Raw genomic sequence first — 20,646 nt, forward strand, 5'->3', positions numbered from 1 at the left:
TCTTTCTTTTCTTTTTTTCCTTTATTTGTTTACTTATTTATTTATTTTTTTGAGACAGAGTCTCACTCTGTCGCCCAGGCTGAAGTACAGTGGCGTCATCTCAGCTTACTGCAACCTCCGTCTCCCGGGTTCAAGTGATTCTCCTGCCTCAGCCTCCCAGGTAGCTAGGATTACAGGCATGCACCACCATGCCCGGCTAATTTTTGTATTTTTAGTAGAGACGAGGTTTCACCATGTTGTCCAGGCTGGTCTCAAACCCCTGACCTCAGGTAATCTGCCTGCCTCGGCCTCCCAAAGTGCTAGGATTACAGGTGTGAGCCACCACACCCAGCTCCTTCCTTTCTCTTTCTTCAGAAAGTAAAATATTACAGGCAAAGGTAAAATTGCCTATGTTTCTCTGCCCAATTTTATTTTCTGTTCTCTCTCCTCAGAAACAATAGCTACCATGAATTAGCTATTCATGTGTGTGTCCAGATGTTTTATCCTTTTACTACACACAAACTGACACATACACTCACTCACACACATTCACACATGACACATACAGTTCTATTTTGTGCAGTTTGTAAAACCTCCTGTAATTCATATTATATTGGGCATACCATTCTGCGACTTACTTTTCTTCCTACCTGTGTTACATTCACAAGGTCCATCCACGTTGCTCTAATTCAGCGTTCAGCAAACTTTTTCTGTAAAGGGCCAGGTGGCTTTGTGGGCCATATTAGTCTCTGTCACATATTCATCTTTATTGTTTGTTTGTTTGTTTGTTTCTGTCTTTTGTACCACCCTTTAAAAACGTGAAAACCCTTCTTTGCCTGGGAGCTATCCAAACACGGACTTGAGGTTAGAGTCAGCCCACAGCGTTCCTTGGCTGAACCCCGCTCTGCTCCATTTACTCCTCCTGCTGGAGGATCCTGTCATTTGAATACGGTGCAGTGGATTCCCTTATCAGCAGACACATTCGAATCATTTACTATGACCAACGCTACTACAGTAAGAGATCTACGTTTTCCACCAGCTTCTGGAGTGAGCGCCAGACAGACCACAAGCCCAGCACTGCCCAAAGACCAGCACTTAGAAGCCACTGCTCTACAAGCAATGCTTGCAGCTAGGTGCGGTGGCTCACCCCTGTAATCCCAGCACTTTGGGAGGCCAAGGCAGGCAGATCACTTGAGGTCAGGAGTTCAAGACCAGCCTGGCCAACATGGCCAAACCCCGTCTCCACTAAAAATACAAAAATTAGCCAGGCGTGGTGGCAAGCACCTATAATCCCAGCTACTCGGGAGGCTGAGGCAGGAGAATCGCTTGAACCTGCCAGGCAGAGGTTGCAGTGAGCCGAGATCACACCACTGCACTCCAGCCTAAGCGACAGAGCAAAAAACAACACCTGCAGAGATCCAGGAGCAACTGGAACTCAAGAATAACAGAGTTTGGATAAATCGGAGAGCAGTACTTCCTATGTGATTGCAAAGAGATAAAAATTCTATGTGTGTGTAGTGGGAATGCATATACACACGTACATGTATGTTTGTGTGCACGCACGTGTGTGTACCCAGAAAGTAGACAATTAAGGGGGTTACATCACACATTGCCCTCTGTAAATCCAATTTCTGAACATCAAAGCCTCACTCCGTGACATCTCTTTGAAGAACAAAGGCACTGCAGGACCCTGCTCACGGTTCAGCTACTCGGGACTGGAAATGAGTGTTTTAAATGGAGACCAGAGCCGCTGTGCACCTGCTTGTTAAAATACAGATTTCCAGGCCCATCCAACCTATGGCATCAACATCCCAGGTGACAGGGGCCTCTAGCTCAAAGCCCAGTGTTTGGTTATTTTTATACAATATTTTTATAATAATACACATTCTGCTACCAACACTCCCCATATATTAAGTATTAGTAAACATTGAATTTTTTTTTTTAGATTAAAAAAAAAAGACTTGGCAGTATTTTTTTCTTACCAACAAGGGATTTTCTTGTGGTCCTCACTTTGAGACTCCTGATCTACAGATGACAATCATCAGCAGGTTGCCAAGGATTTCCCACTTCTCATCTCTCAACTGAGCTCTTGGGTCAAGTTAATCTAAGGCAGAATTGCCTGATAATCCCTAAAGAATTGCTTCACAGTTGGTATCATTGATAAAAGACAGGCACAGGTACACTAGCTGTGAAATACCAAATGTGCTTTATGTGCTCGTCTAAGGGGAGCCATCCCATCTAGCATCTGATGATTGTATCTCACTGTAAGTAGGGGCACCTGTGTGTAAAGTCGAAATTATTCCCACAGTGAAACTCTGGATCTCCTTGTGTAGCTGGAAAGTATTCAGTTGACACTCCAATGGTTTGCTGTACAAAGACAGTAGTTTCAGCCCCCAAAAAACAGTTAAAAACAGGTGTTACCACTTACCTTCAAAAACACACTTGGTCTGGTCATGTGTAAAAGGCATAAGATTTTCTAATATTGTTCATTTAAATGTTAGAGATGCCTGCCAAATGTCATGATTTACGTTTTATTATATACCTAGTCCAAGACATTCTTCCTAACCAAAAAGGGATGGACATAATAAGACATGTAAGAATCTGGGTCAGAGGTAGCAGGAACAGGTAACCACCAGTGCCCAACCACTCAAATGCATAAAAGCAGACATCAAAGTGGCCGACCCACGTGTGCTACCATTTATATGACATTGAGAAGAGGCTGCACAGAAGTGAGCTTAAACCCTTAAGCAAGGATTGGAGAAGGAGGAGGGTGATTTCAAAAAACACTGAAATTAGTAGCTTTCTTTTTTTTTGTTTGTCTGTTTTGTTTTAAGACTGAGTCTTGCTCTGTCACCCAGGCTGGAGTGCAAGGGCGCGATTTTGGCTCACTGCAACTTCTGCCTCCCAGGTTCAAGTGATTCTCCTGCCTCAGCCTCTGAAGTAGCTGGGATTACAGGCACCTGCCACCACGCCCAGCTAATTTTTTTGTATTTTTAGTAGAGACAGGGTTTCGCCATGTTGGCCAGGCTGGTCTGAAACTCCTGACCTCAAGTGATCCACCCACCTCAGCCTCCCGAAGTGCTGGGATTACAGGCGTGAGCCACCACGCCAGGCCTGAAATTAGCTATTAAAGTACATAACTTCCTAACTCAGCCATAGTCCTTACAAGAATTTTGGGAGCAAGGAAATCAGCTGGTAGAATCTCTTTGATGTTTCTTTAAAGCAGGGTCAGCAAACTCTAAGACACAGACCAAATCTGGTCTACTGCCCATTTTTGTAAATAAAGTTTTATTGGAACACAGCCGCGCCTATCATTTCCATATCGCCTGTGCCCGTTCTCTGCTGCAGTGGCAGAGCTCAGTAGCTGCCACCGAGACCAGCTGGCCCAAGAAGCCGAAAATATTAACTCTCTGGCCCTTCCCACTTCAAAGCATCATTCATAAAACTTCAGTGTGATGTAGGAGAAGATAATCACGTCACATTCATGGCAAGAAAAAATACTCAGATCCAAGTAGACTGGCAGCAACCAAACATGCTGATGTGTGGGGCTGTTTTCTGTATTTTCTTCAGTGGTCTGGCAGTTGTCCCATTTTCTAGATGAGAAAACTGATCCTCAGAAAGGTCTCCAGGTGAGTAATCAGCGAGGCCAGCATTCACCATTGACTGCCTCCCTTACAGAAAAGGATAATAACAACATTTCAGTTTAGTATGACCTGATCCTGTAGGTGGCTTTACTGCAACTGAGAGTTGAACTGAAGGATCTGCATTTCTTTCTTTGACATCTGAAAATAAAGGAAATAAAACTACTGATATTGAAAGTAATAAAAAATGAAAATGAAATGATTTTTACTGTCAGTTTTTTTTGTTTTGTTTTGTTTTGTTTTTTCACAGAGTCTTGCTGTGTCACCCAGGCTGGAGTGCAGTGGCATGGTCTCTGCTCACCGCAAGCTCCACCTCCCGGATTCACGCCATTCTCCTGCCTCAGCCTCCCGAGTGGCTGAGACTACAAGCGCCCGCCACCATGCCTGGCTAATGTTGTTTTTGTATTTTTAGTAGACATGGGGTTTCACCGTGTTAGCCTGGATGGTCTCGATCTCCCGACCTCGTGATCCGCCCGCCTCGGCCTCCCAAAGTGCTGGGATTACAGGCGTGAGCCACCATGCCTGGCCCGGTTGTTGTAGTATAAAGTGCATGTCAGTGGCATGAAGTGGATGTGTAATTCTTCCCCTAGCACCCTCCCAGTGAGGCAAGCCGGCATTGCCATTAAGCTGTTTCTGTGGTTTTTCTAGCACGACTTTTATGGTATGGCAAGTCTCAAAAAAAGAACTTGTCGGGAAACCATTTCTGACCATTGCTTTCTGCTTAATTAACCAGTATTAGCAAGAATGTAAAAGGACAGATCAGGTGAACTATCTTAACAAATACCAAAAGTAAATGTCTCTATATGGAGGGTAAGATGTAGACAAACTCAGACACAATAAAGAAATTTAAAGAGGGGAGTGGGCAGGGCACAGTGGCTCATGCCTGTAATCCCAGCACTTTGGGAGACTGAGGTGGGTGGATTGGATAAGGCTGGGAGTTTGAGACCAGCCTAGGCAAGATAGTGAGACCCCCATCTCTGAAAAAAAGAAAAAAAAGCCCCACCCCATGTCAGCTAAAAATTAACATTAAATAAAATGTGGACCAGGCACGGTGGCTCACGTCTGTAATCCCAACACTTTCGGAAGCCTAGGTGGGCCGATCACCTGAGGTCAGGATTTCGAGACTAGCCTGACCAACATGGTGAAACTCATCTCTACTAAAGCTATAAAAATTACCTGGGCACGGTGGCACACACCTGTAATCCCAGCTACTCAGGAGGCTGAGGCAGGAGAATCGAGTGAGCTTGGGAGGCAGAGGGTGCAATAAGCTGAGATCATGCCACTGTACTCCAGCCTGTAGGACAGAGTGAGAATCCATCTCAAAAAAATAAAAATAAAAATAAAATATGCATGCCTGGCTGGGTGGGGTGGCTCATACCTGTAATCCCAGCACTTTGGGAGGCCGAGGTGGGCGGATCACAAGGTCAGGAGTTCAAGATCAGCCTGACCAACGTGGTGAAACCCCATCTCTACTAAAAATACAAAAATTAGCTGGGTGTGGTGGCACACGCCTATAATCCCAGCTACTCAGGAGGCTGAGGCAGGAGAATCGCTTGAACCCAGGAGTTGGAGGTTGCAGTGAGCCAAGACTGCGCCATTGCACTCCAGCCTGGGCAACAGAGCAAGACTTTGTCTCCAAAAAAAAAAAAAAAAAAAAGCCAAGATGAGCAAAAGATAGCCAGTAAACACTTTTAAAATTTTATTTTTCAACGTATTGTTTGCATAAAACAAAATGCATCCGTTGCAAGTGTACAGTTTGATGCATTTTGGTAAGTGTACAGAATTTTATACCACGCCCTAGTCAAAATACAGTTTCCTTTGCTATTGATCCCCTTTCCGCAATCCAGGCTCTCATTGATCTGCTTTCTCTAATAATGGCTTTGTCTTTTCTAGAATGTCTTAAAGTGTACCAGTATTTTGTTCCTTTCTATTGCGAAACGTATTATGGACAGACACGGCCTGCAAAGGCATTAAACCCAGGTAGAGTGGGCTGTCTTCGGCCTGCAGACGGCCGCGGTCATGCTTTGCAGAGGAGCTGTGGCCCCTTAAAGTGACATGACATTATGGACAATGACAGTTGATCCTTGGGGGCTTTCCATGCACCTTGCGCATGCAAGCTAAGGGCTTTACATAAATTAAATAAATTTCCTCAAGTAACCATCTCAATAGCCCTGGGACGAGTCACTTATGTTATCATCTAAATTGACTTAAAACAGGAATTTGAGACTCTAATTTGAAAACAAGAGATTGGAGCCTATTTAGTGGATTTTATGCAGCCAAAGATGTTTCTTGTTGTTGTTGTTGTTCTTGCTTTTAACTAATTTGCCTCCCAGGAGACAGTTGAAATGTCTAGAGACATTTTGATTATTATGCCTGGCAGGACGCCACTAGTGGCATCTAGTGGATGGAGGGTAAGGGTGCTGCTAAGCGTCCTCCCATACACAGGACAGCACCCCCCACAAAGAATTATCCAACCCCAAATGTCAGTAGTGCTGAGGCTGAGAAACCCCACTCTGCTCTCTAACCAAAATTAGACACAGAAAGTGGAGACATTCTACCACCCTGACAACATCAATGGCTTTTGCCCATTTAAAACAAGAAAGAGGAATATGTATCCAACCCAAAACAACATCTTAACATTCTTTCTAATAGGCTTTTGCAAAAATAGTTCATATTTTATAACTGTCTTGCAGCATGGGGTATAAGTGTAATCATTGTAAAAATGAAACCTAATCATTGTAAAAATGAAACCTAATCATGGTAAAAATGAAAAGAGTGCCTCAAAACATCTGAAGTTCTTAGCAGAGGGCAGCCTGTCTTCAGTGGGCACTTTTGGATGGAGGCAGGACTAGGGTATCAGTAGGAGTGAGAACAAAGGTCAGAAAAATGAGTACACAGCACATGTATACTGATTAATTTCTTTCTTTTTTCCTTCTTTTGATGGAGCAAGACTGTAACAGAAGCCTGAGAGTGAGGAAGGGCTTTGCCAACTATTACTGTAGACACAGTAGTTTACTCAATTTTATGAACTCTTAGTCCTGGGCTGGAATTCACGCCTCTGCTGGAATTGCACAGACAAAACGTGCTTGCGAGGAGTAAGGTGGCAACAAAAGAAAAATGCAGGCAAAAACACGCCTCATTTTGAAACCGGATCTGAGCATCCTAGAGCCAGAGCCTCTCCCAGCCAACATTGCTGAGTTGAGCAGAGTGACAGACTCCACACTGGAGCCAGCCCCGCAGCTGGCCATAAGGAGGAGCCACGAGCAGGTGCTGGGAAGACAGGCTCTTGAACGCACACTATGCTGATGTCTCTTTCTGTGAAGTTTTCTACATGAGTGACGTTCTCAAAGTCTGCAACACAGTCTGCCATGAGATGCCTTTTTTCCTCTGGGAACACAATGCTACTTTCGTGATTGGCTGAGTAATGGCCCCCAAAGATGTACTCTTCATCCTAATCCCTGGAACCTGTAAACATGTTACCTTATATGGCAAAAGAGACTTCGGGCAGGCACCTGTCATCCCAGATACTCAGGAGGCTGAGGCAAAAGAATCGCTCAAACCTGGGAGGCGGAGGTTGCAGGGAGCCAAGATTGTGCCAATGCACTCCAGCCTGAGCAACAAAGTGAGACTCTGTCTCTAAAAAAAAAAAAAAAAAATTTCTCAGATGTGACTCAGTGAAGGATTTTGAGATGGGGAGAGTATCTTGGATTAGCCAGGTGAGCCTGATATAATCACAGAGTCCTTATAAGAGGGACAAAGGAAGAGTCGATTAGAAACAGACCATGTGATGACAGAAACAGAGGGAGGTCAGAGGTGAAAAAGAGAAGATGCTGCAGTGCTGCCTCTGAAGATGAAGGAAGGGGCCATGAGCCAAGGGATGCAGGCAACCCTTAGAGGCCAGGAAAGGCAAGGGAACGGATGCTTTCCTAGAGCCTCCAGAAGGAGCACAGCCTGGTCAACACTGATTTGAGCCCCATAAGACTGAGCTCAGTCTTCTGACTTCCAGAACTGTAAGAGAATAGATTCGTGTTGTTTGCACTTTATGGCCATTTGTTACAGGAGCAACAGGAAATTAACATACCATGTTTGGGCCAGGTGCAGTGGCTCACAGGTGAGCCTATAACCCCCAGCACTTTGGGAGGCCAAGATGGGAGGATCGCTTGAGGCCAGGAGTTCAAGAACAGCCTGGACAACATGGCGAAACTCCATCTCTATAAAAAATGCAAAAATTAGCCAGGCATGGCGGTGCATGCCTGTAGTCCCAGCTCCTCCGGAGACTAAGGTGGGAGGATCGCTTGAGCCCAGGAGGCAGGGGTTGCAGTGAGCCAAGATTGTACCACTACACTCCAGCTGGGGCAACAGAATGAGACCCTGTCTCAAAATAAAAACATATCATGTTTGAAGAACCACCAATAGGTATCTTGCTCTGTGACTTGTGATCCTTAAGTCAACATATATATATATATATAGTCACAGGAAGTCGATACATATATGGGATAATCACCAATCTCTAAGATACATAGCATGCTCATAAAATAGCCAAGCTCTGTGCTGAGAGACAAAGACATAAGGCTCATTGGTAACGGTGGTAATAGCAGCTCTCGGTCTGAGCGATGTTTGGCATCTGAAGTCACCATTAGCATTTTCAGAGAAGTCCAGCTTTTTACCATATAACCATTCATTCTGTCTTCCAATGTGATCCTTAAGGAAAAAAAAAATTCCCCCATAGTCGTGTGATGTTTAAAATGTGTTTATTATACCTTGCCTGTCATTTTTCTGGCTTTTAGCTAAAATGTTTTGAATTGAGTGGTGATATTCCCGACTTAACTCTGAACCCTCTCTATTCAGGTCTGTGAGAACTCCTGACGTCTGAAGCTTGACTCCCAAGTTTCCATAGCAACAGGAAAAAAAAAAATCTATCCAAATCTGAAGATTGCGGTTTACAGCTATCGAACTTCACAACTAGGCCTCAATTGTTCCGGTTTTTTATTTTCTTTACAATTTCACTTAGTCTGTACTTCATCATTTTGACAGCATCTTCCTCCCTCCTTTAATTAATGGAATCTTCTGAATTTTCCCTGAATGTTTAAAGATCATGACATATGACTTGATCTTCTGGGAGCAGGAACAATGACTACTTTTTCTGGTGTGTTAACATGTCGCTAGCCAGTGCTCCAGGCACCCAGCTTTGTCTGTGGGTTAGTATTGGTGTATGTATGAGTATCTGTATGTATATATACACGGTATTTATAGAGAGAGACTATCCTGGAGAAGCCTCGTTTTGATGCCATTCTTCCTTGCAAGGTTAAGCAAGGTGGGTGGAAACTAAGACACCTGAACCCTCCAGGGCCTCCCGCATCAAGGTCAGCATGAGGACAGACCACAGAGCTGTCACTTTTGCTCCGAAGCTACTTCTCCACTGTCCCGTTCAGTCTGAATGCTGCCACAACCAGCCAGGCAGGTCCACAGAGAGGGAGAGCAGAGAAAGAAGTCCTTTCTCTTTATTGAGTTCGAGGACTACAACCAATTTACACTGCCATCTGATGCCGTGATCCTGAGCCAAGGAGGTGAGGAGCAGAGCAGGCAATTTCACCACCAAATGCCAAGAAAAGGGCTGACATTTTCTTTCATGGGCACCAACCTGCATTTGTATGTGTCCCGAATCCACAGTCGTACTGATTCTAATGGGGACACAGATCATGGTAGAGAATCTCTCCCTCCTCAGTAAATGTACAACTGCACCTGTCATCATGGAGGTCATACATGCATACAAAGAGGTGTACAGGTACCATCTTGTATACACATATATACCCACATGTACAGACATACATTTATGCACATTCACGCTGTTTGTTTCATATATACAGGCATAAAATAGAGTAAATACAGGTAGTTTTAAAAGTACCCTTTTGTGTGAATTGACTACCGTTGTTTGCAAACCCGAAAATAAAAGACGTTCATTATGTATGAAAAGTAACTGATTTGTATTCTGTGAGCATGTAAAAGCGGAAAGTTAGTGCTTGTTCTAAGATTACCTTCTTGTTGATAAACCATAAATGAATCATCAAAGCTCACACCAAATTTTTCTATCAAATAAAACTAGTGACAGCTTGTGGCTTTTTATTAGAGCTCGCCACGAACTAGGGTAAGGTGAGTGTCTTAGCATATTTTAATGCAGTTGCTTACTAAAGGTTTTAACCGCACATGCACACACACACGCTTTCTTATGCAATCTATGTTTGCACTTGTGCTTTCAGTTAGCCTTCTGTAGGAAGTAGAAGTCATATGTTGTCTTTGTTGTAGTGAAATTATACAGATAGAGTTCCATATATTGTATTTGTTTCAATGGTAAATCCTTTTGGAACATATAGAATGCAGAGATTTTTTTTTCCATTAAAATAAATGGGTATTGGTGGTTAAAACTGCTGGACAGTAACTGTTCTCTGATTTCTATCTTGTGTCCAATGTCACTGATGTTGGGTCTTGTCTTAGTGCAAGTTCACATTTTTGACAGACCATTTGGGGTCCGTCGTACATCTCTGGTTGGTGAGTGAGTCTATGAAGACAGAAGTACCAGTTCTCAGCATGGGCCATGGACTCATCTTGTCCACCTCATGATATGATCTGAGGGTGTCATAATCAGCTATAAAGGTAATTGCATACTCAAAGATGAGACGGACCATTCTCAGTTGATGACCACATTAAGCATAGTCATGGCCATCTGTCAACAGTCCCAAGACCTGGGGATTTTTCTCTGGAACAAATCCTGTTGCTGGATCAGGAGATGCCACACCTTGAACTTGATAGGGTCATTCTCCACGAGCACATGCCCCCGACTCAGGGACAGGGGAATCTAAGCCTGTGCATTCACACTCCACAAGATTTCCTCTACTGGCTTTACAGGGCACTGTCACGCGTCTCCCGGGCGCACCTTGCTCCCCTCTTCCTGCAAGGCAGGGGGAGAACGTTCATCCTTGAACAAACAAAGAGCATCCTCAGCCAGTCAGGCGGCTGGTAGCCGGACACATATGCTAACTGGCAATCAGGAAGTCACCCTCCAATGTAAACTTCAGCCACATGCAGGGAGAAACACAGCAGCTGAGTGGCCATTCACTCAAGGAAACAAATACAGCATGACTCCTTTTCTCTCAAGCTGGTAGGCTCTCCTGCACTTTGTGAACCGAACCAGAAGATTAACTTCGCTGAAAATTCAGAAAAATAGGAGTAAAGTGCACACTTCATTAATAAATAGAATATGCCTCAACTTTCCCTTATTTAAACATATTCTCTGTCCCCACAGTTCTAATCAGGACAGAGATACTTCTGTCATGTTGTTCCTCCTAATAGTTTCCAGAAAAAAAGGAAAATAAACCAATTCTTATAGGCCAAAGTGGTAGCATTTCCTGAATCATAAGATGTTTTGTTCATTTGCTGGAATATATTACATTGTTTACTGAAAACCATAGTAGAATCAAAATGTTATTTCATTATTACCTATGCATTTTATCTGAGTCCAACTTATTAAAAAACGAAGTCAAGTAAGGACCAGAAATTGCTTTTCCCAATTACTGAGCACAGGTCTGAGGGTTTTATTTCCACTGAGCAAATAGTCACACCTTCACTTCTTTTTATTAATACTCAACCAACTTAGTTGATTAAAAATCACATTTTCTCCCTCATTTTACATACGATAAATTAATTATTTTGGATAATTTGTTTTAATAAGAATATGCACACATTTTCTAATTTCAATAAAAGTCACCTTCAATACCGCCAGTTCTCTCCAAATGAGCATCATTCCAGGCAGATATACCTGCTGTGCCTCTTGGCCGACACCAGCAAATCTAAGCATTATAACGAAATAAATCCAGCCAGATTTCATGGTAGGTATCAAATAAGACTTTGGCTCTTAAAGAACATCGTTAGAAATTTTGATAGCTCATTCCAGAGTTTCAGAATGTCATTTAAAACAGTCTGATAAATGGAACAACCATCTACCATCACACTCATAGAGTAGCTCAAATTGCATTTTACCCAAATAAATACACTGGGTCTTAATCTTAAGATGTGACAACTAAAAAATTTTTAACAAGTCTGTGTTTGATCCTGGATTTAGTGCAGTTGCACCCAGGCACGAGCTCTCCAGATGATTCTGAGGAAAGGAGTCTACAATTTTCCTAGGGGGTGTATGAACATGGTACCAAAAAGGTGATTAATAATTATAATAATGGTTTATATTTATCAACTGCTTATTATGTGCCCACACTGTACAAAATCCTTACAGATAGTAACTCATTAATCCCTCCAGTAACATATGAGACAAGCACTACTATCTTCTCCAACTCACAGATAAAGAAGGCTGAGGCTCAGAAAAATTGAATGGCTTGCCCAAGGTAAGTGGCCTCCAGAACCAAACCTCAGGCTATCTGGCTCCAGGGTTCATGTTCTTCCGACAACATCACAATGCCACTCTCAACCCAGGAGCAAAACCAGACAAAGTGCCTACTGCAGACCGGAAGACCCTCGTTTGAAGCCTCCATTAGCGTGACTATGCAGCTAGACCAACTTACTGTTAAGCAACAGTACCTTTTACTATGAGGTACCCTTTACTATTAAGTACCTTTTACTAACAGTATCTTCTGTTACCTATTATTAAGTTCATGCTATACTTCTTCAATCTGAAAGCTTTCTGTTAAAAAAAAAAATGTTAACATCGTTCTAAATTAATATTGAGACCTTAGAAATTTTTCCTGTGCAAGATAACGTAATTATTTGCCCCTTCCCTTCCATGGCTTGTTAGCAGGTAGATGAGGGGCTTCTCCTAGATTAATTTAACATCTCAGTTAATCAAAAGTAGCCGGGCATGGTGACTCATGCCTGTAATCCCAGCCCTTTGGGAGGCAGAGGCGGGTGGATCACTTAAGGTCAGGAGTTCAAGACCAGCCTGGCCAGCATGGTGAAACCCTATCTCTACTAAAAAATACAAAAATTAGCTGGGTGTGGTGGTGCACACCTGAAACCCCAGCTACTCAGGAGGCTGAGGCAGGAGAATCGCTTGAACCCAGGAGGCAGAGTTTGCAGTGAGCCATTGCACTCCAGCCTGGGCAACAGAGCAAGACTCCGTCAAAAAAAAAAAAAAAAAAAAAGAAAGAAAAGGAAATTTATGAACTCCAGAGTACCCATTCACTACCAAACCAACTGAGGGGAGAGAAAACTGAGGGAGAAAGTGGGGTGGGGTCTCAAAGGGTTTGCACTGTGCTTTGCTATAAATCATTCAAAGGGGCAAATTCTAAAGGATCTCTAAGTAGTTGCTGATTTTGTAAAGGTAGCCCATAAATCTGTTTACGTGTAGCTGCCTTAAACATGAGTCAACAGGGTAAGTCACACCAACAGGAAACCCAAGCACTAAAAAAGCCACCTACCTTTTCTGTTTACCAAATACTAAGAATAATAATCTAATAATCTGGCTACATCTTTCATAAAGACCTCCATCTTCTCTCCTTAACTGACTGTTGAGATTTGATAATTTTCACAGTCTAATGATAAAATGCTTTCAAAATGGTTCATCTAACACAATTAACAATTCTTTTACTATATGCAATGTGTTACCCTTACTATATTTCCTATTGCTAATAGATTAGCCCACTATTGAAAAAATTCTGCAGTTGTGACCGTGTTCACATGAAAGCATATACAAGACATGGAGAGACAGCAAAAAATGGTGGGAATGGGTGTGTGTATGAGGGTTTCAGATAAGAACTTCAATTATATAATTTAAGAAGAGTCAGTCTATAATTTAAGCAGAAATAATTGAGATACTCATCAAATTAAGTAAGCGGAAAAATTTCCTCTCTCTCATACTATGTTGCTATCATCACATCTATCGTTGGAGGGTTGCTGAGCTTGATACGCCTTTGAACCATTTTATTTGACTTTCCACGTGCCGTCTCATTGGTAGGGAGATGGTGAAAAGCGTTGGGTGGTGTAGGACGAGGGAGGTTTTCACTCTGAAGCTATGAAGATTTGGAGAAAGGGGCTTATAGAAGCACTATGAAAATAAACTGGAGACTATTTTTTTGCTACTTTTTAAAAAGCTTTTTCTTTAGAGAGTACTAAAGCCATTCTATATCTGTCGTACACATGAATTCAGACTATTATTAGAGAGTTATATCTGTGTTGTCATGCACATGTCAACACTGTCCTGATGACAAAATTTTATGTATCCCCCCAGATAAAAATTTTAAGAAATTTTAAATGCTTTTTATTCACACACACTTTTCAAAAGGGATAAAAGTTAATCATGTTAAAATATTCAGTCTATGGCAGATGTCGCTCCTTTGGGCCCTCACTGCTGAATTGCTTACAGTTTCTGAGCTGTAAACTAACATTTGCTTTACTATGTAGTTACAGAGAAATGTGCAACTTGTTTGTGAAACATTCAAATAAAGCTTATCTGGGATTTTTAACTTGTGTGTTTAGTCTTAGACCATCTTTAGTACAGTCTGGTCTAAACACTGTGACAGAGCAAAGGGACCTTTTTTTCCAATGGTGCACAGTGTCATGGGTGCAACTGGCTGGTGCCGGTGTTGTGGATGGTAAAAGAATTTACCGGCAGGGCGTGGTGGCTCACGCCTGTAATCCCAGCACTTTGGGAGGCCAAGGCGGGCAGATCACCGGAGGTCAGGAGTTCGTGACCAGCCTAGCCAAAGTGGTGAAACCCCATCTCTACCAAAAATACAAAAATTAGCTGGGCACAGTGGCGCATGCCTGTAATCCCAGCTACTCAGGAAGCTAAGGCGGGAGAATCGCTTGAACCTGGGAGGCGGAGGTTGCAGTGAGCCGAGATAGCGCCGCTGCACTCCAGCCTGGGTAACAGAGTGAGACTCTGTCTCAAAAAAAAAAAAAAAGAAGAAGAAGAAGAAGAAGAAGAATTTACCAATTTACCAAGACAGTTGTAGGTAAAGAAAGGCTGATTATTCAAGGGAAAGTACGTTGCAAGGAAGCAACAGGCAGCACAGCAGAGAAGGGGATGTCTGGAAAGAGGCAGGGGCTGGAGGGAAGTTTTATAGGGTTGTGCTGGAGGATGTTACACTTGGAGTGAGGTAGTTGTGCCAGCGGCTTGTTTGTGATTAGCTGTCTCTTGGAACAGTTGTTCCCTACCTGGGACCCCCCTTCCTCATTGTTGCTTACTTATCAGGACTCCACACCAGGTTAGCCTATGATGTTTAAAAACCAAGACTAAAACCAAGTGCTGCCTGCTTAATAATTGGCTCTCTTCTGCTTCTTTCATAAAAGTCAATCATTCTGATTTGGAAAAACAGATATATAGATGATAGAAGGATAGATGGATAGATGATAGAGAGAGAGAGATAGAAAGAGAGAGAAGATAGCAAGAAGGTTAGTGAGATCATTTTGTAAAAAAAGGAGGGGGCCAGATGTGGTGGCTCACGCCTGTAATTCCAGCAATTTGGGAGGCAGAGGTGGGCCGATCACCTGAGGTCAGGAGTTCAAGACCAGCCTGGCCAACATGGAGAAACCTCGTCTCTACCAAAAATATAAAACTAAGCCAGGTGTAATGGTGGGCACCTGTAATCCCAGCTACTCAGGAGGCTGAGGCAGGAGACTCTCTTGAACCTGGGAGCCGGAGGTTGCAGTGAGCCAAGATAGTGCCACTGCACTCCAGCCTGGGCAACAGAGCAGAGCAAGACTCCAACTCAAAAGCGAAAAAAAAAAAAAAAAAGGGAAGGGGGTATTCGTTAAGTGCTTCCTACGGGCCGGATACTTTACGTATCTATATAGATGTGTATATACATATTACCTTGTAGTTATATTTGTAATTTATGTGTAATACATAATTATATATCATATACATAATTTATGTAATAGACATTAGCACCATTCTATAGATGAAGAAACTGAGGTTCACACAGTTAAAACTATCTCACAGTAGGTCTCACGACTACTAAGTGATATGCATGGCCCCACCCTGGCACTTTTCTTGCTATATGCTAAGGCAGCACCACCCCATTTATCTCCAGGAACAAACTGTGTCATCACAAACAATGCATGAAAGTGCTGAGGACTAAGCAAGTTGTCAATGATGGGGGATGAAGCAGAGGAAACCCAAACTTGCAAATCTGGTCTATAAGAAAACTTTCCTTCCCCCTAGGCAGTCTGTCTCCAGGAAACTGCTAGTTTGGGTAAATAAATAGCAAACGGATGCCTTGGCAGCCAGTCATAGAGACGCTAATTTGGAAATTTGCCTCAAAAGAACATAAGAAACAGAAACCAATGCTTCAATCCGAAAGCAAGAGAACGTGAAATTGTCAGAACAACCACCGATCACACCATTCTCCCCGAGAAAAGCAATTTTCTAGGTTTTTGTTTGTTTGTTTGTTGTTGTTTGATTTTTTTACAAACAAGTCCTCAAAGAGACCTCCTTGTGCTTTGGTAATGCGAGGCAAAATATCCACTCATTCTAACCAGGGCACACCCTTGAGAGGGTAGCAACGCTGGATTTTTACATGGGAATCCAAGCCAAGAAGACTGGTACCAGGATGGTGGTGTTTCTAGATTAAATCTGCCGTTCTGTGTCTGTAACTAAGCCCTACCTTTGCTTGGATGATGACTGTCGTGCCCCAGCCCCTCCTCGTGCCAGCGGGACAGCATCCTCCTCCTGAGGCTTACTAGCACCTGAAGGATTGTTCTGTGAAAAACAGGGACCCAGCACCTGCTGACATCCCTCAGCATCCTCTCTGAGTTTATCCCCACGGAGAAGAAGCAAGTCGATGTTACCCTGATGCAGTCATAGTTCCTGTGCTTCCCCTTATCAAATTTTGTAACCATGTTGTTTCACAGCACACGCAATGTCTTCACCCTTTGGCTCCCTGCCTTCTTTCAAGGCAGGATTTTCTAAACTTTAATCCCAAGGGAATATCGTCCCTATTTAGCCGTCTCCCTGTCTCATCTCTCAGCACCTTCACTAACTCTGCCACACTGAAATGCCACCTGTACCATCAGCTACAACTCTAGTTTTAAACTACGTAATTTTACATTTATAATTTTGGCTTGAATTTATTTTAAAAGAAGCTGGTACATTGGCCGGGCATGGTAGCTCATACCTATCAACCCAGCATTTGGAGAGGCCAAGGCAGGTAGGTAGATGGTTTGAGCCCAAGAGTTCAAGACCAGCCTAGACAACATGGCGAAACTCCATCTCTACAAAAAATACAAAGATTAGACAAGCGTAATGGTGCATACCTGTCGCAGGAGGATTGCTGGAGTCTGAGAGGTTGAGGTTACAGGGAGCCATGACTGCGCCACTGCACTCCAGCCTGGGTGACAGAGTGAGACCCTGTCTCAAAAAAAAAAAAGAAAAAAGAAAAAGAAAACTCTACATTATAACAACATGAATGAAAAACCAGTATCACTTGGAATACAATAAAGCAGCAGTAAAAATAAATACAATGAAAACAAACAAAAAAGCATAATTACCTTTTAGCTGGATACTATGTCTACTTAAGGTCTGCGTATGAAACTCTCTGTATTAAAATGAGAGATAGATAAGGATTAGAGAGGTCTCAAAGACACAGTAATATCCACCTGAGACCCTCTGCTTGTCAGGATCACTCAAAGAGAAATGAAAATGGAATGAATGAATGTCAACCGTGTGAGTCAGGCTTTTGTATCACCTGTCCACACAGCACCTAGAACCATTTTAGTAGAAGCAAAACAAGCAAAGTTGCATGAACAGGAGGTAAGGAAGTGGATCAAGTAACTAAGACAATAAGTCCTTCCTTTCTAGAAGCTCCCCTATGAGCAGTAGCTCAACAAGGGCACACAGTCAGTGGAGGTTCACCCTGGTTGGACTGGTTTCCATTTTCTATTTGTTTTTTGTGCAGCGGGGGTGGGGCGAGGGGTTGGTCACTTTTATGTGCTGAGAAGGAGGAATCATTGGAAAAAAGAAAATGAATGCAGGAAGCAAGTTCCTGGAGTTGAGGAAAGAGAATGGGATCAGGGCCCAGGTCTCTCTGCCTTAGACAAACGCAGAGCCCTGTGCGCGAGGAAGAACACTGCTTCCTGAGACAGAAAGGATCGTTAGCTAGTGACACGGGGGTTAATGTAGGAACTTAGGAATGCACGCAGGACGGGAGTTAAGGGGTTTTGATGGACAGTCTCCATTTTCTCCACAAAATAGAATATAAGGTCATCCTCTGAGGGTGAAGGGGATAAAGTCCTGGATTTGGGGGGACCAGAAAGGTTTGGAATGGCTACTGAAGGGCCAGGGCTAGGGCAGCCCAGGTCACTAGAAGGAAGGGGCACCCTTCACTGACCCTGCTGTGGCACCGCCCATCAGGTGAAGGTTGCTCAGCAGCAGCATGAGGCAACCTGGGAGGAAAGCAAACCAGGGGAGCAGCTGCTGGGCCCCAGGGCTGGGCCTACAGAGCTGACGCAGGTGCAACTAGGCAAAGAACATTCCAGTTCCTCCAAGGCCCCGCTAGGATCATTCCATCGCTGCTCACACAAGGCAAACGCACAAAGCACCTCATTGCATGTGGTCACATGGACAGACCAACACCTTCCATAGTGTATTTTATTATTACTGTTTTTTGAGACAGAGTCACAATCTGTTGCCCAGGATGGAGTGCAGGGGATAGATCTCGGCTCACTGCAACCTCTGCCTCCCCAGGTCAAGCGATTCTCCTGGCTCAGCCTCCTGAATAGTTGGGATTACAGGTGCACGCCACCTAGCCCAGCTAATTTTTGTATTTTTAGTAGAGATGGGGTTTCGCCACACTGGCGAGGCTGGTCTTGAACTCCTGGTCTCAAGTGATCTGCCTGCCTCAGCCTCCCAAAGTGCTGGGATTACAGGCATGAGCCACCATGCCCAGCCACCTATCATAGTACAGATCCAAGAAAGGAGGCATGTCAAAAGAATGGCCCAGAGAACCAAAAAGCAATTATAAAAGTACCATAATAAGCGCACGTAAAACAAAACTGTCTTGAATGGAAAAAGGGAGTTACAACATGCAATTAATCTAGGAAGAGCTTTAAAAAAAAAATGCCAAGAGGAGGTAAGACAACTATGACACTTAAATAAAGGTTAAAAATGAGAGTTGTTCAAAACCGAAGTTTAAAGGTTAATTACTGGTGCCTTACACGTAATACATTAGTTTTGTTAATGGGACAATATTCAGTTAGGTTCGGTGTGTCAGCCCCACAAGGTGAGTATGTCAGCCATGAGTATAAATTAGTGAAGCTTCCGTGAAAAGCAGCCCTTTAACAGACCTTGGTCTCCACACAGAGAAAGCATACTGCCTGTCTGTTTAAGTGCAAAAAATAAAGGAACAAATAATGCCTCCACTAAAAGAGTATCAAGTTTGTTTGTTGTTCATGTAAAGCAAATTTCCAATTGGAATTTGAAAAAAAAAAACCACAAGTGTCTTACCAGAAAAGGAAAGAAAAACTCCAGATTCTCGTGCTAATTCATGTTCCTGAGTTGCCCACAGCCATAAGACAGGTTTGCTCAGAGATCCAGGGTGCAGGCACCCAGCTTTCTTTGCTGAGTGTGGGAGTCCCAGGGATTGGGGTCTAAAGTCAGAAGCCTGAGGGCTTTCTTCACCTTGGCTATTCACTAGTTTTTAAGGAGTTCTGAAGTTTTATGAAAAGTCTTTTACGATTAGCTGGGCATGGTGGTGCTCACCTGTAATCCCAGCTACTCAGGAGGCTGAGGCAGGAGAATCGCTTGAACCGGGGAGGCGGAGGTTGCAGTGAGTCGACATGGTGCCACTGCACTCCAGCCTAGGCAACACAGCAAGACTCCATCTCAAAAAAAAAAAAAAAAAAAAAAAAGTCTTTTAAGAAAACTGAGATACTGGCATCTAGTAGGTAGAAGTCAGAGATGCTGCCCAACGTCCTACAATATACAGGGTGCCCCCTCCACCACCAACAATAAAGAACGACTTGACTCAAATGCCAGTATTGCAGCTCTTGAGAAACTCTGCTCTAAGCTCAAAAAACTCAGAGAATTCTAGAATGGTGAGAAAAAAGGAGAAGATGCAGAGTCAGGAAGTCCTGCGTCTCTTACTTCCTTAATTTGATGACCTTGTTCCAGTTTCTTAACGCCTCTGCATCTGTTTTCTCAAAAATGTAAAATTATGATAATTATATCACAGGGTCTTCTGAGGATTAACTTAAAACACTGAGATATTTTTATTTCAAGTAGTCGGGTAAAGCACTAGCCAAATACCAGTTGACAACAGCCAATTACAAAAAAGTTGTGTATACTTACACAGAAAGGAAGATCTCTCTATAGGAAAGGATGAGGTGTGAAGGGTGAGGGGCAAAGGTGTGAGTGAGGGGGAAGGGGTGGTAAAGGGAGTTGAAGTCTCATGCCTCAAGGCCAACTGGATTCCGGGTTTGTTAGAGACACTGGTGGGTCTGGCAGAGGCGTTTGAACAAGAGCAACTCCATCTCGAATAGGAGCTGGGTAAACTGAGGCTGAGAACTACTGGGCTGCATTCCCAGACAGTTAAAGGATTCTAAGTCACAGGATGGGATAGGAGGTCAGCACAAGGTACAGGTCATAAAGACCTTGCTGATAAAACAGCTTGCGGTAAAGAAGCCGGCCAAAACCCACCAAAACCAAGATGGCAATAAGAGTGAACCCTGCTTGTCTTCATTGCTACACTCCCATTACCGCTATGACAGTTTACAAATGCCATGGCAACGTCAAGAAGTTACGCTATATAGTCTAAAAAGGGGAGGCATGAATCACCCACCCCTGGTTTAGCATATAATCAAGAAATAACTATAAAAATGAGCAACCAGCAGCCCTCAGGGCTCTGTCTATGGAGTAACCATTCTTTTATTCCTTCATTTTCTTAAACTTGCTTTCACTTTACAGACTCGCCCTGAATTCTTTCTTGCATGAGATCCAAGAACCCCCTCTCTTGGGGTCTGGATCAGGACCCTTTCCCGTAACAGCTCTAACACCTTACAGCCTCTCCCTAGCTAAAGTCAAACT

General features: G+C 43.3%; 1 protein-coding gene and 1 long non-coding RNA gene across 6 annotated transcripts in view, besides 1 other annotated feature; one reads left to right on the forward strand and one right to left on the reverse strand.

Moving 5' to 3' along the window:
- The window catches only part of CDH13 (cadherin 13), a 1,173,672-nt gene extending 1,159,586 nt beyond the window's left edge, over nt 1-14,086 (forward strand). For all 5 annotated transcript variants that reach the window (NM_001220488.2, NM_001257.5, NM_001220489.2 and 2 more), the window contains one exon: nt 8,469-14,086. In NM_001220488.2, the coding sequence (NP_001207417.1) occupies nt 8,469-8,476 (8 nt within the window). In that variant the 3' untranslated portion in view covers nt 8,477-14,086. The remainder of the gene's footprint in view (nt 1-8,468) is intronic.
- CDH13-AS2 (CDH13 antisense RNA 2) lies at nt 10,682-17,422 on the reverse strand. Its single transcript, NR_120308.1, has 3 exons — nt 17,115-17,422; nt 16,881-16,974; nt 10,682-10,822 (listed from the first exon to the last, which is right to left on the reverse strand). It is a non-coding gene; the product is annotated as a CDH13 antisense RNA 2 (long non-coding RNA).
- Nucleotides 15,679-15,838: a silencer, noted in NCBI's record as "silent region_7767". NCBI's record gives its function as "represses an Ori minimal core promoter by ATAC-STARR-seq in GM12878 lymphoblastoid cells {active_cell/tissue: GM12878}" and the evidence as "EXISTENCE:reporter gene assay evidence [ECO:0000049][PMID:35858748]".
- Nucleotides 17,423-20,646: the final 3,224 nt, after the last annotated feature.

Source organism: Homo sapiens, chromosome 16 (assembly GCF_000001405.40).
Source record: "Homo sapiens chromosome 16, GRCh38.p14 Primary Assembly".
Lineage (NCBI taxonomy): Eukaryota > Metazoa > Chordata > Mammalia > Primates > Hominidae > Homo > Homo sapiens.